Raw genomic sequence first — 27969 nt, forward strand, 5'->3', positions numbered from 1 at the left:
CAACCCTTTAGTGAACCCATAGGAAATACTAGATATGAAATAGGAATGTCTCCACTGCTTCCTTCATCTCAGTACAAATGAAAGGAATGTAGGATGAACATTTGAAAGGAAAGCACATTTAAATGTCAATATATTTTCCATCTCCTTTTAATTATCCCTTTTCTTTCTCCTTCTCCATCTGTCTTTAACACATAAACAGGCATGCTCATTTAAAGTGTTATTTCACTCTAGGAGGTACTTTTTAGGAATATGGAAAATTGCTGAAGGAAGAGAAAAACATTAGTAAACCTATATTCCGATTAACGTTGTGAATTATATGAGTTGCTCTTATTTTGAAAGTGGAAGTGAGAATCTCAAGTGTGAAGTAGAGTTAGATGCTCATATGATTTCCTCATAATTCCTTCTCTTTTAGAGAGAGAATATCAGAGAAGAAAAAAAAAATATGTAAGTAAATATAGTAGCATGCAAAATCTACACCTGCCATATATTCAGATTTTACTGTACAACTTAACTTCTGAATCATAAAGGAAGCAGCAAAACTTAGTCTGAATATGTACAAATGGTGTTAACCCAACTTTGTAAGTATAAGAAAATATTTTTATGCATGCATACCTACACTAGGTTTTTCTTACTCTTTGACGTTATTAACTGATATTTTAAAAAATTAAAATGCTACAAAAGTAGGAACTTGTTTTATTATCATTAGCATTCACAGCTTCAAACAGTGTGTGTAAATTTGAAGAAAAATGAGAAGCATATTCTAATACAATGATAGGTACTGTTGCTTGCTATAAGAGGAATATATAATTGAATATTTTCAAGGCTGCTTTTAATTTATTCTCAGTGGAAACTTTTCTCCACTAATTTATCAACGCAGTTTGCCAATTTGAGTTTGGACTTTTTTAGACAAGAAATGCTGTGACCTTTCTAAAGTGTTGGAGGAATAATCTTCTGAGGCACATGATAATAATTATGATTTGTTACTCACTAATGCTACACAAGAGTTTACGTTGTTAACCAAATGATTTTAACCAAAATTTTGAGTACCGTTACTATCAGAGATGCGGCCCTCTTTTTTGGGGGGGTTATTTTTTAACCTTTTTAATTAAAAAAACAGTTTTAACTTTTAGATGCAGGGGATACATGTGCAGGTTTGTTACGTGACAGGCATAATTTTTACCTTTATATTGTTATTTTTCTGTGCTGAGTTTTCTGAATACAGAGATTATATGTATATACAAGAAAGAAAACCAAATTTTCTAATTGCCCTAAATGTGCAATAGAAATTACAGAGAGGAAAAAAAAAACATGAATCAAGCATTAAGCCATTAAACTGTACCTAATAGGCATTTATTCAATGGGCATTATGAATGTGAGTCGTGCCCCATTTAAAATCTAACTGAAATGATTGCACATTTCATTAGTGAAGATAATTACCAGTTTATTCTTTCCCCCCAAAATCATATATGTATGAAAAACACCATTAGAAGGTAAACAGTACTTTTAAGGAAGGAAGTAAACATGACCTATTTAAGTAGGGTCAGTAGAGGAACATCTGTTTCCCCTTTCTTTGTCTTTTTTTTTTTTTTTTTTTTTTTAACAATTGAGACTTCAAAAAATAATTCCCAATTTTATCCCACAAATTCAATGTGTGAAATAATTTATTTTTCCAATGCATTCAACATCAGTTTCTTAATGTTAAAAACAAACTCAAGAATACTCAAATGACTTACAAATGTGAACATTCAGTATCTCTATTTACACAGAAATGGGATGTCTTCAATCCCTAAATCTCTGATTGGGTAATGAGGAGGAGGATCAGTGTTCTTGCTCTAGTTTTATAACTAACCGGCTGTGCAACTTGGAGAAATAACTGAACCCCTCTGGGCTTCTATGGTTAATTAAGAGAACTCGAAGATTTACAGGCTCTTTTTCAGCTTAGAACAATTTTGTCATTCTGTTGTAAAAACACCAACATATACATACTCAAGCATATGTCAGTGTCCAGTAACTAATTGCCCAGTAATTTCTCGTATGAAGAGCTTTATATTAATTTCCAAAATAGATGGCATCTGCAAAACGTGTTTTGGTGGTAGGAGGGGTTTGGATTAATCTCAATCTAATTCTATTCGATTTTTTGAGAATTAAATGTGATTATCTCCTTGATCCAAAATGTAATAATACATGAATACTTACTGAGTGCCTATTATATGCCAAATATGGTGTTCTATATGAAGGCTACAATGCTGAGCAGTGCTGACTATGAACCTGCCTTCATGGCACTTATAGTCTAGCAAAGAGACAGGTATTAAAGTGTAATTCTATCATTAAACCATAAAGCTTAAGTCATAAATCTTCTCAATTTAGTCCATCACCAGCAACCACCAAACCAAACACATGCAACAAATAATTTTTTAAAACAAAACATACCTTCATGCTCATGAACCGAAATGTCCTCAGAGTCCAGAGAATGGTGAAAACATTTCCAGATTCTTGGCTTTGCCTGATGGTATTCTGTTTATATGGTAGCCTTCCTTAATCCTCTCTTCCTTTGTTCCTTAATTTCTAGGCTTCAACCTGTTTAAACAAAAAGTGTAGTTTTATTTCAACTAAGTCTGAAATCCTCTTTCCTGTCCTTGTTCCTCAAATTTGTAAGATAAAGCATCATTTTGTTTTGGGTTTTCTATTTTTTTCTGCATGCAAGATTTCTGTGAGACCATTCAACACTTTTCAATATGGATGATTTCTTACAACTTGTCTTCAATGCATTTTTATTCAAAAAGACAACCTTCCCTCTGGAGCTGGGAATGGGGGAAGACAGAGCTGTCTGGTGGGTGCCTTTAGGTCATCAGAAAAACCATAATAATGGATATGCAATTACAAACAAATTTTAAGTATTGTGAATTTGTTTTCAAAAACTTTTCAGGGAAGACTTACCTGAGAAGTGACGAAATCATGGGAAAATTGGAAACTGGTGTGACTGCAGCAGCATTTAAGAGAGGGAGGCCGGGCATGGTAGCTCATGCCTTTAATCCCAACACTTGGGGAGGCCAAAGAGGGCAGACCACCTGAGGTCAGGAGTTCGAGACTAGCCTGGATAACATGGTGAAACCCCATCTCTACTAAAAATACAAAAATTAGCTGGACATGGTGGCCTGTGCCTGTAATCCAAGCTACTCAGGAAGCTGAGGCAGGAGGATAGCTTGAACCTGGGAGGTGGAGATTGCAGTGAGTGGAGATAGCACCACTGCACTCCAGCCTGGGCAACAGAGTGAGACCAAAAAAAAAGAGGGAGGGAAAGAAACATGAGAACACTTTTCTTAGAAAACTACAAAGTAGTACACCAGGATAATATTTACTCCCACAAAAAAAAGATTTTGATAACAAAAACAACATACACTAGAGCAGACAAATTTGCTGTTCTAAAAAAAAATTACCTCTTTGTAAGTTTGGTATACATAGAATGGGTAGGAGAATGCACACAAAGGTAGATGTACATAAATTCATGACTGAATTGTTTGTAATAATCCTAAATCTGAAGCTATTACCAGAAAGTTAAAAACAATTAACAATAAAGAAAAAGGCCAATATCCCTTTTAGTTAGTTATTGGAGATTTAGTTTTAAATATGTGCTGACTTTTTAATATGTAAAGTATCCTTAAATTCGAATTGAGTATTTCATATTCACAAATATTGACAATACTTTAGTTACATCAGATAAAAACAAAACACGTAGGAAATTATGACTTCTAATAACAAGTTTCACTTCTCTTCCCCAGTCCTGTTATCTTTCTATCCCAAAATGCATGTGAAAGTTTCCCATGTTTAGGATTAGTGTTCTCCCCAATTAGTGAGGCATCCAGAATGGTATAGGGAAAGCACATGTAATTTGGTTTTGATATTCTGTTTTATTCAATTACATTTTTTATTGATAGGCTTCAAGGAGTCAAAATGCCTATTTTACAGTTGCTTATTTTGAGTTAAAAAAGTACCACATATGAGTTAAAAAAAACTTGGATTTTGGTCGTTTTACTATAATTGCCTTTGAGGTTTTTACATTGTTTTTCATTGTATTTTTCTCTTACATGTGTTTTGCATACATAATGAACAGCAGATGCAATCAAAATATTAGAATAAAATTATATAGCAAATGCTTGTGTAATCTGATGTTTTTCCAGTTGATTCAATTTTTGCAAAAAAGTACTCAAACTCCATTATAAATAAGGAGAGATGTGTACCATAGCTGCTAGCATCTGGTTCCTAGAATAATGTCTAGCACTTAGAAAGTATTCAATAAATATCTGTTGAGTAAATGAAAGTCACATCTAGGTTTTCTGTCTCATTCTCTCTCTTGCTTTCTTTTAAAATTGTGGATGTGCATGTGTTACGTGTGAGAATTCCAAAGTGATTTGGAATATTTGTCAAATTGCACGCTCTTAGATTGTCTATTTCAGAGCATTTTATGGCTTTTCCTAAGTGAAAATAACAAAGCAGAAAGTAGAACACTTACTATTTTATTTGCTGAAATACAATAGAAAATAAAAGCACTTCACAATTGAGTGCTTTTAATGGAGACACTGTGCTAAATACAGGGGCTCTTGAGTGGGGAACAGGTAACCCAGGGTTCCCAACTTCTTGGAGCCCTAGGTATATGAACAATGAATGAACAATTACAAGTAAAATAAATGTTATAAGAAAGTGGTTTGCCAGTCAATGATTGGGATACTTGAATGTGTTTCTCAGAAATCTATTGGTTGATTGGTCCTCCTTTAAATATTAATGTTACCTTTAAGGGAGTAGTTTTCCAACTTTTTTGAAACCACATGTTTCTTAAAAAGCATTTTGAAAAAATCTGTGCCCCTCATTCCAAGTTGACATTTCAACTTTCCTATTGTAAATTTAAATAGTTGTAAACATGTAATTTTCAATGTTCTGCTAACATTTGCATTTAAAAATAAATATGTTACATCACTTCTTTACATGTCTGGCATTACCTAAAAATACTCTGATTTTTTTTGTTCTTTTTTCTTTTATTTTTTCTAATCGACATACAATTGTACATATTTACGGGGTACACAGTGAAGTTTTGACACTTACGTAGTAATTAGGTCAAGCTAATTAGAATATTCATCATCTCAAACATTTATCATTTCTTTGTGTTGGGACATTCCATATCTTCCTTCTAGCTATTTGAAACTGTATCTAATGATTTGATTGCCACCCTTAGCCGTTAAAATAAAAGGGAACAAACTATTCTCTGAAATTAAGAAATCCTATACTTTTCATTTTCTCCTTTGAGCTCATAAACTTCCTTCATATTTATCCTAATGTTATGTATTATTAAGTCTTTTACTCATCATTCCAAATTTAATTAAAATGTTCCTTTGACTTAACTACTAAAAAATTAAAGTGTTTTAAGTTATGATTTCAATTGTCTTTAGTACACAATTGGTTAAAAGAACATAAATATAAGTGTGGATGGGCTATTAAATATTAAAATTAAAAATATTTAAATGCATATCTTGAATGGATATGATTTTTTCAATTAGTTTATAAATCTTTAGCAGAACATGACATATTGCTACATTGAAGGAGGGCTCATAATCAGCTATGGTCCTGTTTTTTATTTTTATGGATGTAAGTGCTAAGGAATGGTGGGAATAGAAGGAATTTTTAAACACGTCACTCACTGCTTTGAGTCTTTTCAGGTTATATGCCAAAAATCACATAGCTACTTCTCAGCAAAATGTGTACTTAATGATTTGTCACTGACAGTGCTGATTGGATCCTCCCTCAATTTTGTTAAAAGATTTGGACACCCCTGCCTTATAGGATATTACCTGTCATCGAAGCAACTCATTTTCTTAACATCCAACACCAAAATTCCAATATTTCCTCCTAAAGTTTGGTGTCTCCGTTTTCACACACCACGATGATCATATGTCTTTCTCTTATAAAATAGGAAAAGAATAATTATGAATGAGGAGGTAAGAAAGCTGATTCTGAATGAAGTTTTCACCTCAGGGAGTGTTCAGGCAAACCAATTTCTGGGAAGAGTACATATGGTTAGGCAGCTTTGAAACTGATTTCCCTTAACTGACCATTTCTACATACTATTTGGAAAGTGCTTATATGCCTCATGGGCATTTGTACCCCAGTTAAAGGCAGCTTCATTATGTTATCAAGAAAAAAGGACAACTGAATTCAACTATCGACACCTAGTAATAAAATACAGTTACTGGTTTGGTCTTTTATTGATATCACCAATCCATTATTTTTAATGTTAGAACTTGAAGTATAAGGTACATTTTACTTTCTTTATGAAGGTCCTCTTGTGCCTCTTACAAGAAGCAAAATATTTTCAATGGATCAATAGAATACACAGCAAATATAATACATATCCAAAGGCATTATAGTTATAAATTCACTAAATGTGCTATGAACACACTGGGATCATTCTGTGGCTCTAAATTAAACAGCTCCATTTATAAGATGAAGACTGCTATAAAAATGTATTTCCTATAGGAAAAGAATTATGAGATTCTATGAGTTCTGGTATAAAAGCCGGAGTAAAATGGAATATGCTTTTACCTCTAGAGAGTTCTCGCAGATATTGTAGCATCTTACAGAGAAAAGGAAACATCTTCACATGTCGAAATCATTTCATATTGAAGGGATAAAGAGTGATTAAATCTAATTAATCTATACCTGTATTTATATTAATGGTCTAGTGTTCTTTTATAAAGTAAAGAATTTCATCCCTAATAATTTATATTTGGTCCTGACACAATTTTTCTCCTCACTATTGAATATGCACGTATTCACTTTACCTCTTAGGAGCTCATTTGCTTTATCTGTCAAATGAGACAGATGGTTTTTAACTTCCCTTCTAGCTTGAATTGTCTTACTGGTGTATGATGTTATGGAAATTTATATTTCAAACAATAATTAAAGTAAGTTGTGGCTGATTTATCATATCCCTAGATTTTAATATCATTTGAAACTGAAACCCTTTACTCTAGGTCACTATAAAAAAAGTGAGACCAAATCTCTGTTTTCTTGGCTTTATTAAATATTTGATTATAGCTAGCTTCTCATCTGTTTACAGCTGCTTTAGTTTATAAATACAATCAAAGATTTTATAATTACTGTCTTCAATACAAAGAAAAAATATATAATGTCAGGATTTCATATGATGTAGGAGTAAATTGACTTAAATTTAGTTCAGATGCGGATAGGATGTGTGTGTTTATACCTCAGATGTAAGAATATTGCCTATGTGTCCAGACCCTCCCTTCCTCCTCAGTCTGGACATGTCTCCAAGACATGTTCCAAAGGGGGTCTCTCCTTAAGACTTTGAGTGGCTTTTTCATTCTAAGGGAATAGATTGACATATTATATGATCTCCAGATGACAAGGCCCTACTTTCAAGGGAAGGGGTGTTTTCAACACAAGAGGTATATTTTGAAGATGGTTTGCCAGCACGCTTCTATAGCACTCATGGCAGTCTACTGGAGAGGGCCTTGGAATAAAAGAGTGAGTAAAATCTAAATGGACTGCTTTGTTTGCACCTTCCTTCATTTGGGGAAAGCATTGATATTGGAAACTAGAGAAGTTATCTGTAGTTTTTGTTGCATGATGATCTTCTTGATGATCTGTCTGCATTATGGTGAAATCAGCACCTTCATGATTCATTATGGTGATGAGTGCTCTAATCAGCTCTTAGGGTGGGAATGATCATCAATCATCATTGACATAGCCTCAGCAACACAGAGAATAAGGAAAAAAAAAAAGACAGCTACCAGGGATTAGTCAAACTCAGACACACCTGAGATATATCTTGGACACTCCTAGAATTGTGTGTGGAGACAGTTGAAGGACTGCATCTTCCAAGACTGTCAAGCCAGAGTGGTACTTTTTTAATTGATGTTTTCCTAAATCAATGATTACCATCACCATGATATAGCTCAGACTGCTATAAAATTGTTGCCTAGAGTACAGTTGTGTGGCGATTGACAAAGAGCTATAAAGGCACAGACAAAGGTTAAAAGCTCTCTTAATGTAAGTAAAGGATACAACTTAATGCACAGTGTTAGTACCACTCACTCCCAGCTAATTGGCAAGTTGTCGCCTTCCAAGCCCAGATACTTCCTGTGTAGGGTGTAGTGCTGTCAGAGACTTTGAGAAGCTAACCTTGCCCTTTCATTAGGGATATGAAGTCCTCTTGGCCCCTCCGAATTATTTTTGGAGACTTTGGCTGTTTGCCTACAAGCTATAAGAAATTTGTGGGCCGGCTTGATGCGGTGGCTCACGCCTGTAATCCCAGCACTTTGGGAGGCCGAGGCAGGTGGATCACGAGGTCAGGAGTTCAAGACCAGCCTGGCCAACATGGTGAAACCCCATCTCTACTAAAAATACAAAGAATAAAAATAAAAAATAAAAAAATAAAAATAGCCAGGCATGGTGGTGGATGCCTGTAATCACAGCTACTCAGGAAGCTGAGGCAGAGAATTGCTTGAAAACAGGAGGTGGAGGTTGCAGTGAGCCAAGATCACGCCACTGCATTCCAGTCTGGGTGACAGAGCAAGACTCTATCTCAAAAAACAGCAACAACAAAAGATATTTGTAATAATCTGGGCTCTTTTCTCAGTGACTCCTGAGGGACTCTAATGTCAATTTCCTGGTGTGACATTCCTTAGCAGGTGGCAATGTCAAACCTACTTGAGATGTATTCTCACACAGTCTCATTAAGTTTCTCTTTTTCTTAATATTTAAAGGTAGAGTCTTCTGTTCCCAGCATCTGCTTTTCTGGGAGGTGTTAATGTACTTTATTTGAGCTCAAGATCCTAACTAAAGAAGTTTCATCAGTGAAAACAGACTAATCTCTGCTGTCCACTTACCTTTACCTTCATTGCAATAGGCCCTAATAATTCAGTCTTGGAGAAATTGTAAAATTAGTTTATCACGCCATTAATTAAGGCTGGAGTGCAATATGTTGGGGGAAAACATTCTATTCCCTCTTCCTCCATTTACTTTAAGTTTGCTTTGGGCCATAATTTAGATGTAGAATATAAATCCATGTACAACAAAGACTTATTTCTTACCTGTGTTAACACCTTTGCTTGCCCCTGTCTAGGATTATTCACTCTTAAACTAAATTGATGAGTTGAATTAGTAATTGAACAAATATATGGAACATTTTTAATACAATAACAAAATTTATCAAGCTATGTGCCAGGCACTGTGCTTCTTTATAGCTAGCTCATAAGTTAGGCACTTTATTATCCTTATTTTACAGATTCCCTAGACGCCTGAAGCTTGGAGCAGTGAAGTTTTGAAACTAGGCAATCTGTTTCTAAGGCTCATACTCTAGTTTGTAGTGTACTATACTGCTTGCTTTGCTTTCTAGCTAGAAAAAGGGAGCTAATTATATATTTTATTTTAGCTGTCCTATTTTGGAAGCTATACTGAGTGTAGGTAAAAACTGAAAACTTTGCTGGTTTCAGCTATGACATTTAAAGAGCTTGGAAGTCATCATTCCTGCCCTTGCAATAAAAACAAAAAAGCTGGACAAGTTGATAATTTAACAGGTTTTTGTAGACATTTCAGAGCAATCAGATTGTGAAGCAAAGCAAAGTACCACCATGAAATCTGGAGAGACAGGTGAAACTAGAGAGTCTCAGCTGAGGTCTGCTTATCTGGAGCAGAAGATGCTTGAGCAATAAACTGGCAGAAACTTTTAAATGGAAACTTTGGCAAACTGGTGGAGGCTGAGCATGGACTAACATGACAGTGATGAAATCCTGGGGGCCACTGTCTTAGAGGAGTCCCCCACAGCGTCAAGGGCTTTGCCTTCAGGAACCCCACCGGGTTCTCCCAGTGAAATATTCTCTCACAGGAGAAAAGAAAGAATAATCTTTGTAAAATACACAAAGAGGCTTCTCCATAACAAAGTCTAAATGAAATTTCACCACTGAAGTCTCTTTCAGCCTTTCAATTTCACTTAAAGTGCTGGTGATGTTGGCAGGGAAGATGGAGATGTGAGGTCAATAAAAGTCAGGCCTTGAAGGAAATAGATTGGAAGTAGTGTAGTTAGAAAAGGATATAGAGGTCTGCTGCACCACTTTGAACTGTGACATTCACAGCCGAGAATCACAGGCCCACTAAAAGAGTGACAGTCAGTTGATTGCAGAATGCTCCCTTTTCCCCACACCTTACCATCAGTGCTCTAGTGTGGTAAGAGTGAATCTTAGTGGAAAGAGCTGTGAGATAGACTCGCTCTAAGGAGGAATACTTAGGAAAGGCCAAAGTCAAGAGAAGACAAAAACTAAGATGCTCTGGCACCTACAGCTGCAGATAAAGATCTCACAGCCCAAATCTTAGCAGATTAACATAAATCCTTACATTCAAGGTGTGTTTATTTTAGTTTTTATTACCTGGTATGTGCTGGCTTTCAATGAAAAATTGCAATGCATGGCAGAAGGCAAGAGACAGCCTGAAGAGACAAAGCAAGCATCAGAACCAATGTCAGATATGACAGAGTTAGTGAAACTATAAAACAAGTAATTTAAAATAACTATAATATGTTAAGGATTCTAATGGTAAAAATAGTCATCACATAAGAAGAGATGAGTAATGTAAGCAGAGAAATTTAAAGTAAAAAAACCAGAAGGAAATGCTAGAAATAAAAGCAGTCATACAGGCAATTGTTTTGATGGGTTTACCAATAGACGTAACATGGCTGAAGGGAAAAAATCAGCTTGAAAGGTCAGTAGAACTTCAAAAACTGAAAAAATGAAAACAAAAACAAAAAATAGGCAAAACATCTAAGAACTGTGGGACTACCTCAAGAGGTGTAATAATATGTGCAATTAGGATACCAGAAATAAGTGAAAAAGAATGGAGCAAATGGACTATTTGAAGTATAATAGCTGAGAACTTTCCACAATTAATAACAGATACCAAAACATAGACCTAGGAAACTCAGTAACATTGAGCCAGAAAAATACCAAGAGTATACATATAGTAGGCATATCGTATTCAAATTGCAGAAAAGCAAAGGCAAAGAGAAAATCTTGAAAAAAGCCAGAGGAGGGTGGGGTAAATACTTTGTCTAAGAGGAACAAGAATGAGAATTACAAGGGACTGCTTATCAGAAACCATGCAAGCAAGAAGTGAGTTTGGTAAAATGTTTTAAGTGTTGAAAGAAAAAAGCCCACCAATCTAGGATTCTGTATTCAGCAAAATTATTCTTCAAAAGTTCAGGAGAAATACTTCTTCTGAGAAACAAAAGCTGAGGGAATTCTTTGCCAGCAAATCAGTCCTATAAGATGTGTTAAAAAGTTCTTCAGGCAGAAGCAAAATCTTACACGTCAGAAACTTGAATACACATAAAATAAGAGTATTGAAGGCCTAAGTAGTAAAGTTAAAATATTTTAATTACTGTATTTTTAATTGACCTAAAATTTATTTAAGGCAGGAGTCAATTCTCCAAGAGCACGTAATCTTAAATATACCAAAATATATGAGGCAAAAACTAATAGAATTGAAATAATAGACAAGTCTACTATTTTTATGGGAGACTACAATGCCCCTCTGTCAGTAATGGATAAGGAAACAGAAGATTAGTAAAGTTACACATGACCTGAACAGCACTATGAATGAAATTGATCCAATTGATATATATGGAAGACTCCAACCTACTACAGAATATACTCCTCGAGCTCATATGGAACTTCTGTTTTCACCAAAGAAGACCCTATTCTGGGCAATAAAACACACCTTCACACATTTAAAACAGTAAAAATTACTTGTATGTGTTCTCAGACTACAATGAAATTAAACTAGAAATCAATAATGAAAGATAGTTGAAAACCTCCAAATATTTGGAAATTAAAAAGTACACTTCTAAATAAACCATGAGTAAAGGAGAAGCTACAAGGAAGATTAAAAATATTTTGAACTAAATGAAAATGAAAATACAGCTTATCAAAAGTGTGTGGGAATTAGCAAAAACACTGCTTAGAGGAAAATATATAGCATTATATACATATATTAAAAAGGAAGATCTAAAAACATGAAATTAATCTCAGCACTCATATTAGGGAGCTAGAGAAAGGAGAGAAAATTGGGCGTATGGCAAGCAAAATAAGGATAATAATTACACCAGAAATCAATGAAATTGCAAAAGGAAAACAGAAAAAAAAAAAAGACCAAGAGCTAGTTCTGTGAAAAGTTCAATAAGATTTATAAGCCTCCAGCCAGGCTAACCAAATAAAAAATAGAGATAACACAAATGATCAATATCAGAAATAAGAGAGGAATCATCAATACTTATTCCATGGACGTTAAAAGAATAATAAAGGAACACTCAACTCTATACCCACAAATTCGATAACTTAGATTAAATGGACCACTTTCATAAAAGACATAATATGTCAAAGTTCAGACAAGAAGAAATAGTCAAACTGAATATGATTATATAGATTAAGGAAATTGAGTCAGTACTTAACCTTTCCCAAACAGGAAGCCCCAGAACCAGATAGGTACCGTGGTAAATTCTACCAAATATTTAAAAAGGAAAGAATACTAATTTTTCACAATCTTTTTTAGAAAGTAGAAGCAGAGGAATATTTTTTGACTCATTCCATAAGGCCAGCATTACCCTAGTATAAAAATCAGATAAAGATATTCCAAGAAAAGAAAACTGAAAGGACTACCAGCAGCAATTACCGGTGAAGATGTAGAGCAACAGGAACTGCCATTCATAGTAGGTGGGAATGCAAAATGGTATAGCCATTTTGGAAGACAGTTTTTGTAGTTTCTTTCAGAGCTAAACATAGTCTGCCCATATGATCAAGCAATTTTGCTCCTAAGTATTTATCCAACTGATATGAAAATTTATGTCCATACAAAAATCTGTATGCAAATGTTTATGCAGCTTTATTCTTAATCGCCAAAATGTGGAAGCAACCAATGTGTCTTTTCAATAGGTGAATGGACAAATACACTGTGGTACGTTCAAAGAACAGAATACAATTCAGCAATAAAGATAAATGAGCTATAAAGCCATGCAAAGACACGTATGAATCTTAACTGATAAGTGAAAGTAGCTGGTGTGAAAGGACTACAGGCTACCTTATTCCATTTATATGACATTCTGAAAACAAAAACTACAGAGATGAGAAACAGATCAGTGGTTTCCAGGCTGTGGAGGTGGGACAAGAGGGTCAAATAGGTAAATCGCAGTGAATTTTTTTAGGGCGATGGGGCAGTAAAATCGTTCTGTATGATACTGCAATGGTGAATACATGACATTATGCACTTGTCAAAACCTGTAGAATTTAATAGCATATAGAGTGAATCTTAATGTATACCCATTTAAAAAGTTATTTATAATGCTGAGGAATTCCTGTGTAGAATGCAGAATGTAGCAAAAACAATCTAACTGTATTACAAATGTGTTATATAAACCCATTTCACTGAAGGTAGCGGGTGGGGTGGGGGGGAGAAAGATGCTGACCTAAATAACCTTGGAAATGATCCAAGTAAGTTTAGTCTATAAAACACAGGCAAAAGAAACTGTACATAAGCACTCTAGCTGCTAAAGTTGTTTCCAATGGGTGTATGAATGAACTATTCTGATACTACACACACATACGTGTGTTGAATAACTAAGTATATGGCAGATGACAGAAGTTGCAGATAAGGGGAGGAGGACAGAATGAGTTATGTGGTAATGGATTAGATTTGAAGGCAGTATGCACCTGTGGTTAGCCTAACACACACACAGATGGTTACATTACAGATATATTTACAGATATCTGTACATACATGAGTTAGTAAATATATATTTCATTTTGCCAGCCAAACGGGCCTAGAAACAATGACATCCCAGTAGCAACCACCACACTAGTGTTTAGATCTTGGTTACTAATACCATTTTTCATTAAAAGAAACCAGGGATCCCTAGAAAAATGTCTAATTTTAACCCTGGGGCAAGAAATTTACAAGATGAACCTAGAGCCTCTTGTAGTGCCAGAAAGTAAGGAAGTTCTCAAAGAAAACCTACAATGATGGAGACATGTCAAAGGAACACAGGAGATAATGAAAGTGTTCCCAATTGCCAAAGATGGAACAATTTGACCTATAAAACAAATAAAATAGTATTGGAGTTACACCCAAAGTGAAATATCCATGAATCCATATAAAGGATTGCCCAAATAAATCTGGGAGAAAGGATAATGCAGAAGAATTTCAAATAATGTATGTAGCTATTTCATGCTGAAGGAGGTAGAACATAAACCCTTCTTAAATGTGGGCTGCACATACTAACTTCTAAATAATAAGCATGGAAGGTGAGGAAAAAAGTAATTTTACAGTGGAGAAACCTGACAAACATTGCCTCATGCAGATGATCAAATTAACATCAGTAATGGTAAGTCACCTTGATAGTATTTACCCTTGATAAGAGGTGATGAGAATGGCACTTTACCCGTGTTGATATTTCTCCCAAAAACCTATAACTTCAGTCTAATCCTGCAAAAAACTTGAGATAAGTCTCAGTAGCTGAACATTCTACAAAACACCTGACCACTAGTGCTCTGAACTTTCAAAGTTATCCAGAACAAGGAAGCTATGGAGATGTGACAGCTAAATGTAATTGTGATATCCTGGATGGGATATTGGAGCAGAAAAACGAAATTAGGATAAAACGAAGAAAATATGAAGGAAGTGTGGACTTTAGTTAATAATGTTGTGTCAGTATTGGCTCATTAATTTTGACAAATGTGCCCTAATGTAAGATGCTAATAACAGTAGAAATGCAGTAGGGGGTGGTATATGTAAGGTATGTATACTATCTGCACAGGTTTTTTGGAAATCTAAACTATTCTAGAATAAGAAGTGTATTCGAAAGTTAAAAAAAGACACCTGAAAATTTTTTTTAGGTTTGTGAAAATACAAGCTTTATTCATAAGTCATTTGCCATCCCAATCATCACAATTATGACATTAATCAAATATCTGAAGTCAGTTAAATAAAGGAAGGTTGCTACCTTAGCAAAACAATCTGTTTCTTTCCTAATCCATGTGGAGAGAGCATATAAATTTATTATGAACACATTGTATTACAATTAAGTGCTTTTGCAGTTGATCTTCTTTAAGGATAATAGAGAATATAGATGCATACAATAGAGTATATAAATGTCTATTGCCTAGTTGTCACCAGTTAATACTGCAGGAGCTCTAGTGTATGACAGGCACACGTGAAGCAAAGAAGATTCAGGTTTTCAGGGAATGACTCTTCTGAATGCCATTCTAACCAGATTCCCCCTATCAGTGGTTCTGATGGAGCTTCCTGGGCCTTCACCCAGAACAGATTTTCATTCATTTATTTGTTACTTCAAATATTTGTTCCTTTCTCTTTCTGATGTTCCCATTATAGTTATGTTACTCCTTTTGTAATTGTCCCAAAGTTTTGGGGTATTCTGTTTTTTTCAGTTTTTCTCTTTGCATTTCAATTTTGAAAGTTTCTGTTGACCTATCCTTAAGTTCACAGATTCTTTCCCCAGGCAGCATTCAGTCTGTTAAAGGCCCATTAAAAGCATTCTTCATCTCTGTTAGTGTTTTTGGGTTCTACCTTTTCCTTTTGATTCTTTCTTAGTTTCCACTTCTCTGCTTACATAACTCATCTGTTCTTACATGTCATTCACTTTTTCCTTTAGTGCCTTTAACATATTAATTGCAGTTATTTTAAGTTCCCAGTTTGCTAACTCCAAGATCTCTGTCGTATCTGAGTCTGGTTCTGATGCTTGTCTTTTCAGACCTTTTTTTTTTTCTTGTAATTTTCTGTTGAAAGGCAGACATAAAGTATCAGGTAAAAGCAACTCATTGTAGATAGGACTTTTGTGTGAGGTTTTATGTTTTCTTGCAAATAGTTAGGCTTTATTTACTGTTTGCTGCAGCTGTGGTGTCAGAGGCTAAAATTTCCTTCAGTATCCTTGTTTTTGTCTTTCCTGATGTCTTTGGGTTTTTCTAGAGATGCCATAAACAAGGTCTGTGGCTTGTTCTTCAAGCTGTGGTTCCATTATTATATAGGAACCCTACTGACGTGGTGGTAAGATGAGGGGATCGGAAAGTGTTTTATGTGATTTGTTCTCGGTATTTTAGTTGAGTTGGGTATTTCCCTTTTCCCACATTGAAGGCCATGGGGTGGGTGTGGAGGTGAGGGCTTGAGTTGAATACTTTCCTTTTCCAATTTGGAAAGTGAGAGGGATCTGGAATTGGTTTTCCCCCTTGCCCTGGTTGGTTAGGCTCTGGGAAAATAATTTTCTTTGAGGGTAGGCCTTGTGAAGAACAGAGAGTCTGGTTGTATTTCAGAATTGTTACCTTTCCCTTCTTCCTGCTGGAACCAGGAGGGGATTTTTCTATAATTTTCACAGTGTCACAGTGAGGACCTTAGGAAAGGGTGGGGAGCCTCCTAACTAGGCTTCCTCAGAATTTTTAACTCTCAAGCTAGTCTGCACAAAGCCTCTTGCAGTCTGTCAGTGATGGCTTATGGTGTTCCTATTGACTCCAGCTTGGGCTTCTGTTGCCAGTAAATTGTGATTCTCTCTATCTGCCTGTCTTTCCTGTTTTCAGAGCAACAGTTTGCCCTGTGACCTCGAATCTCTGACAAATCTAAGGAGAGCTGTTGATTATCAGTGTGTGGTTTGTTTTTTTTTTTCAGGGTTTTTTTGTTGTTGTTGTCATGAAAATATGAGCGATAACTTCCAAGCTATCTACATGTCAGACCAGAAACTGGAATTCTAATTTGTTTTATATATATATATGTTTAGAGGCTTTTTTGTTTTCGCTTTAAGTTTCGTTTAAGTTTTCGCTTCAGGCAAAACTAAAAGGTCTTAGTGCTAAAATTTAACATGTAAAAAAATCTTTGAACATTTAAATTTTGTTTCAGGTTCACTGAGTTTTTAAATCTAATGGATGCATCTGTTTTTATAACAGCAGTAGTAGCTTGTGGTCTTTGCCCAATTCGGTGTTCGGTGAAATAACCCCATGTAACAAAGGTCTTTCACGAGAGATATGTCTTTGGCTTTTAAGTCAGTTTTAATATTAAATGAATCCCTATATGTGTCTTGGCAATATCTGAACAACATCTAAAGTAACTATCATGTTATCAAGAAAATAAATTTACATTTGTTTAATATATTCAGCAACAAAATCAATGCAACAGCAATTGTCAGATAATTTGAGCAGTGAATTTATAGAGGTAATTTTAATTTACATCCAGGAATGCAGGCAATTTTTGTCCAGCTATTGACATTTGATTGACTAAGCTTAGGAAACAACAGGAACAACATCCTTTGGAATTTCTTTGTAGTAGACAAAAATGGACATTAATAAAATGAAAAGAAACTAGACAAAGGGCTAAGAGTTTTACTACAGTATATTTGCCATCTGAGAGTTCAACCAAGTGAGCACTTTGCTATAATTTAAAAATATAATGATAAAATTTTACTTGTCTATTATATAATTGTAGCAAATTATTTTGTCTCTAACAAGGAAATCGTAAGGTTTTGTACTTAGACTTCCTCACATCTCCCAGAGTCAGTGACGCAGATGCTGATGTGAGATGTCTCTTTTTCAGATGTTTTCCTATTCAGGGCACAATTATTCCTGTCTTGAAATAGAAATTATCTTTTAATGAACTCCATTTAAATTTCTTTTCCCTATTTTTATACTCATTTCATTGAATAACATAATCTCAGAAAAGATTAACTTGTATTATTTCACAGTTGCGTCTCCAACACTATCTTAATGTAATCTCTTCATATTTTTTTGGCTATTCATTGGTTTTTACACTATTCTTTTCAAGTTTTCACATGGAAATGTAATAAAAAGGCTCTGCTTACTCTCTTTTCGAGACCATTAAAAAACTTTAAAGACTGCCTGAACACCAATCCCTGGGCACTATGCTAGATTCCTTCCTCATGCGATGGACAGTTACTCATGTCTCATTCTTTGTGTTCCTCTTGAAAGTTTGCAGTCCTTCCAGGAGTCATCCAATCCAATCAAGGTCAGTGTGAAAATATATATATATACACACACACACACACACACACACACACAGTCTTTTTTTTTGAGATGTAGTCTCGTTCTGTCTCCCAGGCTGGAGTGCAGTGGTGCGGTCTCGGCTCACTGCAAGCTCTGCCTCCCAGGTTCATGCCATTCTCCTGCCTCAGCCTCCTGAGTAGCTGGGACTACAGGCACCCACCACCACAGCCAGTTAATGTTTTGTATTTTTAGTAGAGATTGGGTTTCACTGCGTAAGCCAGGATGGTCTTGATCTCCTGACCTCGTGGTTCACCTACCTCGGCCTCCCAAAGTTATGGGATTACAGACATGAGCCACTGCTCTGGGCCCAAATACATTTTTAAATTAAGTTTTTGTAAGGGGCTGTATCAAATGCTTTGCTGAAATCTAATGCCCGTGATATTGATTCTGTAAACCATATTCATAATTTAAAAAAAGGTTAACCAATCACATATGTCTAGAATGACTAACATTGATCCTGATTTTCTAACTATTCATAGGAAGCGATACTCAAGAATATTATTTTAGTGTCAGGTTTATTACAAATGACTCCATAGTGTAACAAAGATGGTTAATGTGGAAACTTCCAGGTAATTAGTTATAAGAAAAAAGTTATTATAAATGAATGAGAGTGTTTTTTAACTGCCAAGTGGGCTTTCAAGACCCTAGGTGTTTTATTCCTTTAGTTATATGTTTTTCTTAATTAGGCCTTTGTCTTCATTTTAAGTAGGTATTAAAATGAAATATAATTTTGGAAAATGATGAATTTTGAAACTGATGAATTTAAATATTCATTTAGAACTTTATGTGCCATAGCTATCGAGTTTGTAAATCTGTATATTTTAATTATTTGATTCCTAATTTCTACTATACAAATATCACTGCAATAATTGTATTTTTTTGTTTTTTTTTTTTTTTTGAGATGGAGTCTCACTCTGTTGCCCAGGCTGGAGTGCAGTGGTGCGATCTGGGCTCACTGCAACCTCCACCTCCCAGGTTCAAGCAATTCTCCTGTCTCAGCCTCCCAAGTAGCTGGGACTACAGGCACATGCCACCACGTCCAGCTAATTTTTGTATTTTTAGTAAAGACAGGGTTTCACCATATTGGTCAAGCTGGTCTCGAACTCCTGACCTCAGGTGATCCACCTGCCTTGGCCTTCCAAAGTGCTGGGATTACAGGCGTGAGCCAACGCGCCTGGCCAATAGTTGTATTTTTGTAACAACCACCCAGTGAACATGCTATTCTTAGATTGCTAAACCAAAGGATTTCTTTTGCCACAAATCAGATTGTATGTTTTACAAATTTACTGTCAAAGCTAATAAAATCTTAGACCATTCAGTTATCAACAATATAAGCCAACACTTTAACCAATTTTTAAAATAAACAATTTAGATCAGGGTTTAGCAAACTACAGCTCACAGACCAGATCTACTCATACTGATTCATGTTCATATTGTGTGTGGCAGCTTTCTTCCTATGACAGCCGAGTTGAGTAGTGCTACCAGATACCCTAGAGATCTCAAAGCCTAAAATATTACTATTTGGCTTCTTACAGAAAAAAATTTTAGATCTCTGGTTTAGATTAACATTGACTATTATTAATATTTATTATAAATTGATACAAATAAGAGACAACTGTGGACAACGGGATATCTGGGACACATGATTAGAGAAAACACTGCATTGACTGCTGTGGAATGCATTCTTTTGTAAAGTAATGTTCCCAAGGCCCTACAATTGTACTGAACTCGTGCATCTGTGATAGGAAATGGGCTGATATTTACTAGCATTGTCTAATTCTGGCATGCATATGAAAAGTCGAATTTGTATAAAACAGTATAAATACAATGTCATTACTATCAGATGAAGTGATACATGTTAGGATGTGTGTCATAAATATGCAAAAGAAGTATTAGATGTGCACTGACATCTAAGTAAATATGTAGGACAGATACAGAAACTCATATTCAGTCATTTGATGAATACTTATTGAGTGTCTATTAGGTGTGAGCCACTCTTTTTTCTGTCTGAAGATAAAGTTTCTGCTCTTATGGAGCATTTCTCTTATTGCGGGAGGGAGACAGACCCACAAAGTAAACATATAAATATGTAATATATTGGGATGTTATAAAGAAGTATGAATCATGATAGGCTGGTGGAGGAATGACAGTGGGCATGTAATATTTATGTAAATTGGTGAGAAAGGGCAGAGACATTGAGAGAAGGAGGGAGGAAGTCAAGCAGATATGCTTCAGAAAAACGTTTAAGCTTGAGAGAACAGCAATTGCACGTGTTCTGAAGCAGTAGTGGTTTAGCCACCTCTGAGGAACAGTAGGAAGCCAGTGGGTTTCAAGGGATGATTAAGGACACTGCCGGTCAGTGATGCCGTCCTTGTGGGCCTGTGTAAAGATTCTAGAATTGTCTGAGTGAGAAAGAAACCATGGGAGAGTTTGCAGTTGAGGGATGACCTGATATGATTTGAATTTTAACAAAGGACTCTGGATGCTGTGTGGAGAATGACCACAGGAGGCTTGTGGAAGTAGGGAAGCTGGTTAGGAGGTAATTACAGTTGTCCAATCCCCTCCCCTTTCCTACCACCAAATGGTGACTTGGTGGAAGGTGGCAGAGATAGTGGTGGGTCATGAGGATTCTGAATATTTTTTAATCTCAAGAAAAAATATCTAGAGTTTCTGATAGATTATATATGGGGCGTGTCAGAAAGAAGACTCAAGGATGTCTCCAAGACTTTTGGCCTGAGCACTGGGATGCAGGAGTTGCCATTTACTGAAGTGTAAAATACTATCAGAAGAACAGGCTTAGCAACAAAATCAAAAGTTTACTTTTTAAATTCTGGCATGTAATTGTAATAGAGATGAAATGCAAAGACGTTGTCTTGGTGAGTAGGACACTTCAGACATAGATTTTACCTGGGATTCAACATGTTGTCAATTAAATCATACAGTCAGGATATCATGACTCATGAGGATTATCAATTTTTTTTTCTAACATGCAAAGATCAGACTATATTTTTAACATGAAGATAAGCAAACATTTATAATCTGTCAAAATGGAGCTTTTTCGTAGGACTGCATTATTGAAATATTTGTCTTTATTCAAAATGGTTTATTTTTGTGTGTGAACATTTTATGTAGAACCTGTCACAATCGAGGGTAATAGATTCCGTTTCTGGTGAACTCATAAGCCCCTTTTGAACAGATAATTGGCATGTTGGCATATCTGATCCCAGGAGAAAAGAGATTTCAGTCTCATTCCTTCTGGAATCTGCAGTTGAGAAGGAAATAGTAATGGAGACATGGTGGTTTGACTTTTGGTGAGTTCCTCTTTCTTATCCCTTCAGTCAAACTAGGAATCATCTCTTCTAGGACACCTTACTTAAAAGAATCCAAATAAAGTACATACAAGTTGATGTTCTATGTCCCCATTACCAAATATTGTTTATAGATATAATCAAGACTGATGATATTTCATGATTAAAATTATTTGGCTTTGAAATCCCTGGACACAACTCAATATAAATAGACATAATAAGACTAAAGGCTTTGATATAAAAAGCCACCACTCAATGTGTTCTAGTGAAACAGTAGTATATGTTCAGTTCAGTTTGGAAAATAAAGAATTGTTGTTAGGAGAGACATGCCATGTTGTTGTACTTATTATCTTTGAATCAGTCAAGCATGACCTCAGTAGCTGCATGAGCAGCAGCAGAAGCGATGACTAAAAATCAAGCATCCAGGTTGATGTCACCTCTGCTGTAATCTTGCTGTGTCATGTTCGGTAAGTCACTTCCCCTCTTTGAATCTCAGTTTCCTCCTCATTAGCTCAGAGAATGATTGGGTTTTCATAAGAAGTCATATTTTTTGACTCTTAATATGGCCTTCATTTGTAACATGCTCTCTTTATTCTAGCTGCTATAAAAAATTACAAACTGAATGGCTTATAAACAATAGAAATTTATTTCTCAGTGTTTTCCCAGTTCCAAAGTTTAAGACCAAGATCAAGAACCTAGCAGATTTGGTGTCTGTGAAGGCTTGTTTCCTGGTTGGTGGATGGTGCTGTCTCCCTGTGTCTTTATATGATAGAAAAAGGGCAAGAGAGCTTCCTGGGGTCCTGATGATCGGGGCACAAATCCCTTTATGAAGGCGCTGCCTTTATGATCTAATCACCCTCCAAAGGCCCTTACCTTCTAATGCCAGCATCTTAAGGGTTAGGATTCCAACATATGAATTTTGGGAGACACAAATATTTAGACTACAGCACGTGTTATTATCTCACAATAAGGCTTTGGCATAAAAAAAAAAAACAAAACTGTTCTGATGAACAGCATGCATGCCTAAGTCCCAATGTAGATAGATAATGTTGAAGAGTTCCCCGTGAGAAATGGTTTTCAACAAGGACAAACCAAATTCAAAAATGAAATAGCCACCTTTCAGGGATGGTGGGTTAGAAATGCCACATACATATTCATCGGGTGAGATGTATGGGTAATGACTTTTTAGGAAGACTTCTTTTGTTTGTTTACTTTAAGTCATAGATCATTATAAATCCACTTTGTTTTATGACTCTCTTACTGGATATTTTACTCTGAAATTTGTAATGTTTTTGTATGGAAGAGATAGTAAATATTAGTTTGGAGGAATTTAATGATTGCTTTTTTAAAAAAACAGAATAAGGCCATGTTTCTTGCCTAAATTTAGAAATGAGAATACAGTCATGCCCCGAATAATGATGTTTCAGTTGAGGATAGATGGCATATTATGACAGTGGTTCCATAAGATTATGGAGCTGAGAAATTCATATTGCCTAATGGCGTAGTAGCTGTTGTATTTGCAGCAATGCCAGTGTAAACAATCCTACTTTGCTTTTTATTGTGAATATAGACTGTACTCCTTCTACATATAAAACAAAAGAGTTAACTGTAAAGAGCCTTAGGCAGCTCCTTCAGGAGGTAATCCAGAAGAAGGCATTGTTATCATACGAAATGACAGCTCCAAGAGTGTTATTGTCCCTGAAGACCTTCCAGTGGAACAAGATGTGGAGGTGGAAGACAGTGATATTAATTCTCATCCTTGCAGGCCTACACTATTGTGTGTGTGTCTTAGTTTTTAACAAAACAAAAATTAAAAATAGAGAAAAACTTAGAGAATAAGGATATAAAGAAAGAAATTTTTTTGTACAGTTATACAACCGTTTGTATTTTAAGCTAAGTGTTATAACAAAAAAGTCAAAATGTTAGAATTTTAAAGTTTATAATAGTTATAGTAAGATAAGGTTAATTTACTATTGAAGAAAGAAAAATGTTTTAAAAATAAATTTAGTGTAGCAAAAGTGTACAGTGTTTATAAAGTATACAGTGGTGCACAAGAATGTCCTAGGTCTTCACATTCACTCACCACTCACTCACTGACTCACCCAGACCAACTTCCATTCATGGTAAATGCCTTATACAGGTGTATGATTTTCTAAAATCTGTTATTACTGTATTTTTACTACTCAGTTTCTACATTTAGATACATAAATGCTTACCATGTTACAACTGCCTATGGTATTCAGTATAGTAACATGTTGTACAGGTTTGTAGTCTAGGAGTAACAGGCTATAGCATATATAGCTACTGACTATATACGGTGTGTAGTAGGCCATACCATCCAGGTCTGTGTAAATGCACTCTGATGTTTCTACAATGATGCCATCCTCTAATAACACAATTTTCAAAATGTGCCCACTTTTTAAGTAATTTATGACTGTAAAAAAGGTATAAAAGAAGTTTGGACTAAGCCTGTCTATAGATGCAGCCAGTGTGGATGAATATGAGGCATAGCATGGTTATGTCTGCCTACAAATACTTTCTCCCTGCCTCCCCACTTAGATGATTAGAAACTCTCTCATATATTCGAGTGAGATTATAAGAGGAGCAGCGTTGCTATGAGAAAGGTTCCATTCAAACATATTTGTGTTTACTGAGTTGAAGGGCTAGGTTATTTTGGAGGTTGGCTTCTGTTTTAGATTACTCCCACCTGCATATTAACATGGGTGTGGTTGAGAAATAAGCTAGCTCTCTTTGCATTCTTTGTAAAGGAAAAGGGATGAGATTTGGAGTATCAGTGGAATGGTCATAGCTTGGGATAGTATAAGAAGAATGTAATACTGCATTACAAGGTCAGGAACCAATGGTGGGATACTTAGATATGGTGTATTAAAAAATGGAGAAAGATTAAGAAAAATATGTAAGGCCGAGTGCGGTGGCTCACGCCTGTAATCCCAGCACTTTGGGAGGCCGAGGTGGGCGGATCACAAGGTCAGGAGATCGAGACCATCCTGGCTAACATGGTGTAAACCCCAGTCTCTACTAAAAATAAAAAATAAAAAAATTAGCCAGGCGTGGTGGCGGGCACCTGTAGTCCCAGCTACTTGGGAGGCTGAGGCAGGAGAATGGCATGAAGCCGGGAGGCAGAGCTTGCAGTGAGCTGAGATCACACCACTGCACTCCAGCCTGGGGGACAGAGTGAGACTGCATCTCAAAAAAAAAAAAAAAAAAATATATATATATATATATATATATATGTAAATGTGTGCATGTTGAGTACTTTGCCTACTTCACAGTTTCGTTTCCCATATTCCTGACAAAGGTCTTTGAGTTTGAATTACCCTAAGGCTATTATAAATTCATCCTCCTTGAGGAAAATGAAGGTAAACACTTTAAAAATTTTTGTACATGTTTAAGGGGTACAGTGTGATGTTTCAATGCATATATACATAGTATAATGATCAAATCAAAGTAGTTAGTATATCCGTTTCCTCAAAAAGGTTATCATTTGTGGTGATAACTTTCAAGGTTTTCTTTTCTAGCTATTTTGACATATACAATACATTGTTCTTGGCTATAGTCACTCTACTATGTAATAGAACATCAGAACTTACTCTTCTTATCTGACTATCTTTGTGCCCCTTGACCAACCTCTTTCCATTCTTCCCACCTTCATACCTTTCACAGCCTCTAGTAACCACTATTATACTGTCTACTTCTACGAGTTCAACTTTTTAGATTTCACATATAAGCGAGATCATGTGGTATTTGTCTTTTTGTGCCTGGCCTATTTCACTTAACGTTATGTCCTCCAGGTTCATCTATGTTGCCACAAATGACAGGACTTCATTCTTATTTATAATTGTATTCTATTGTGTGTATACCATGTTTTCTTTATGCATTCATCTGTCAATGGACATTTATGTTGATTTTGTCTCTTAGCTATTGAGAATAGTGCTGCAATAAACATACGCATAAGCATAGCTCTTTGACACAGTAATTTCAATTCCTTTTGCTGTATACCCAGTAGTAAATTTTGGGGGTCATAAGGTAGTTCTGTTTTTATTTTTTGCAGGAACTTTAATACTGTTTTCTCATGTGAATTTAGTAAAGTTGCAGGATACAAAATCAACATACAAAAATTGATAGCATTTCTATACACCAATAGTGAAATATCTGGAAGAGAAATCAGGAAGGCTATCCCATTTATAATAGCTACAAAATATTAGGAAGAAATTTAACCAAGGAGGTGAAAGATACCTACAATAAGAACTATAAAAAATTAATGAAATAAAGTGAAGAAGACATAAATGGAAATATATCTCATGGATTGGAAAAATTAATATTGCTAAAATATCTGTACAACCCAAGGCAATCTACAGATTCAATGCAATCCCTGTCAAAATATCAATGACATTCTTCACAAAAATAGAAAAAAAATCCTAAAACTTGTATGAAACCGCAAAGATCTTGAATAGCCAAAGCCATCCTGAGCAAAAAGAACAAAACTGGAAGCATCATACTATCTGACCTCAAAATATACTACAAAGCTACAGTAACCACCATAGCATGGCAATGGCATAAAAATAGACACATAGACCAATAGAACAGAATGAAGAGTCCAGAAGTAAATCTACACATTTAGAGTCCACTGATTTTCCATAAAGGTGCCAAGAATACACACTGGAGAAAGGACAGTCTCATCAATAAATTGTGCTGGGAAAGCTTGATATCCACATGCAGACAAACTAGACCTTGAACGTTCACCATATACAAAAATTAACTCAAAATGAATTAGAGACTTAAAGACCTGAAACTATAAAAACTACTAGAAGAAAACATAAGGGAAACACTTCATGACATTGGTCTAGGCAAAGATGTTCTGAATATGATCTCAAAAGCATGGGCAACAAAAGCCAAAATGAACAAGTGGAATTATACCAAACTAAAAAAGCTGCTCAGCAAAGGAAACAATACATAGAGTGAAGAGACAACTTACAGAATGCGAAAAATGTTTGTAAACTATGTACTTGACAAAGAGTTAATGTCTAGAATATATAAGGAACACAATAGCAAACCCAAATACTCTGATTAAAAAATGATCAAAAGACCTGAATAACCATATCTCAAAAGAAGACACACAAATGTCCAGCAGGTATATGACAAAGTGCTCAATATCACTAATCATCAGGGAAATGCAAGTCAAAACCACAGTGAGATATCGCTTCCCTTCAGTTAGAATGGCTATTATCAAAAAGGCAAAAATTTAAAAATGCTGGTGAGGATGAGGAGAAGAGGGAACTCATACACAGTTGCTGGGAATGTAAATTAGTAAACACTTTTTGGATCCAAATTTGTCTCACATAAAGAAAGTATATCAAATGAAACTTGACACTGAGGAAAAAAAATCCTGATTTTAAAATAAATTTAGAAATAGAAATATTAACATATTCAATACTATGAAGTAGTCCATTCTCCCTGAACAAATTTACATGTTTATGTAAATCAAAATACCAAAGGGATTTTTTGGGGTGGGAACTAGTTAAGCTAATTACATAGTTCATATTTAAAAAAAAAAAAGTAAGCGACAGGACAGTTCTTCACACAGGGTTTAATGCAACATTCATTAGGATGATGCAGAGTGAAATAGTCGTGCATGTGTTGAGGTGTAAAAGCAGCCCAGTGGTTGGACATGTGGGCTCTGGAGGTAGAGGGCCTAGATATACATCTTACCTTTGCTACTTACTGACTTTGGGATCATGGGAAAATTATGTAATATTTCTGGGTTTTGTCCTTGGGATCATGGGAAAATTATGTAATATTTCTGGGTTTTGTCCTAAATTTTAATCTGAATTTTAAAATAGTATTTATCTTATAGAATTGGCATGGAGATTCAGTGAATTAACACACACAGAGTGCTTAAAGCAGTGTGAATTAGCAACAGCATTACTACTTCCATCTCCATCAGCACCCCAACAATGAACAAAACGGAATGTCCAGAATTAGGCCCAAATGCATGTGGGAGTTTAGTATATAATCCAGGTGTATTGTAAAAAACTAAAGCAAGCATTACTCACCAAATGGGTGCTCAGAAACCTGACTAGCCGTCTGGAAAAACATGGTAGCTACTCCTTCCTTAAACTAAACAATTCCGGACGGACCCATTACTTAAAGGTCTAAAAACTTAAGATGTACATTTTCTTAAATTACACATGTACTTACCTATGACTAAGCAATCCAAATCCTAGGTAGTTACCAAAGATAGATAAAAGCACATGTCCTTACAAAGACTTGTACACAAATAGTCTCAGGAGCTTTATTCATGATAGCCCAAACAGGATACAACACAAGTGTCCATGAACAGGTGGCTGGATAAACTAGTCATGATATATTCATATAGTGAATGAAATACTACTCAACACTAACAGGAATGAACTACTGAACATACAACAACGTGGAGGAATCTCAAAAGTGCGATGCTCTGTGAAATAAGCCAGACATGAAGGACAACATACTGTACTATTATGTGAAAATCTAGAAAAAGCAAAGTA

At 35.4% G+C, this 27969-nt stretch overlaps 1 long non-coding RNA gene across 1 annotated transcript in view, besides 1 other annotated feature; it reads left to right on the forward strand.

Moving 5' to 3' along the window:
* LOC124904475 (uncharacterized) overlaps positions 1-27969 on the forward strand; it is a 765263-nt gene that overhangs the window by 138880 nt on the left and 598414 nt on the right. The window lies entirely within an intron of this gene.
* Positions 21161-22360: an enhancer, noted in NCBI's record as "P300/CBP strongly-dependent group 1 enhancer chr1:193583455-193584654 (GRCh37/hg19 assembly coordinates)". NCBI's record gives its function as "activates an origin of replication core promoter dependent on BRD2, BRD4, P300/CBP, MED14 and CDK7 cofactors, with strong dependence on P300/CBP, by STARR-seq in HCT116 cells {active_cell/tissue: HCT116}" and the evidence as "EXISTENCE:reporter gene assay evidence [ECO:0000049][PMID:35650434]".

The sequence above is a fragment of the Homo sapiens genome, chromosome 1 (assembly GCF_000001405.40).
Source record: "Homo sapiens chromosome 1, GRCh38.p14 Primary Assembly".
NCBI lineage: Eukaryota > Metazoa > Chordata > Mammalia > Primates > Hominidae > Homo > Homo sapiens.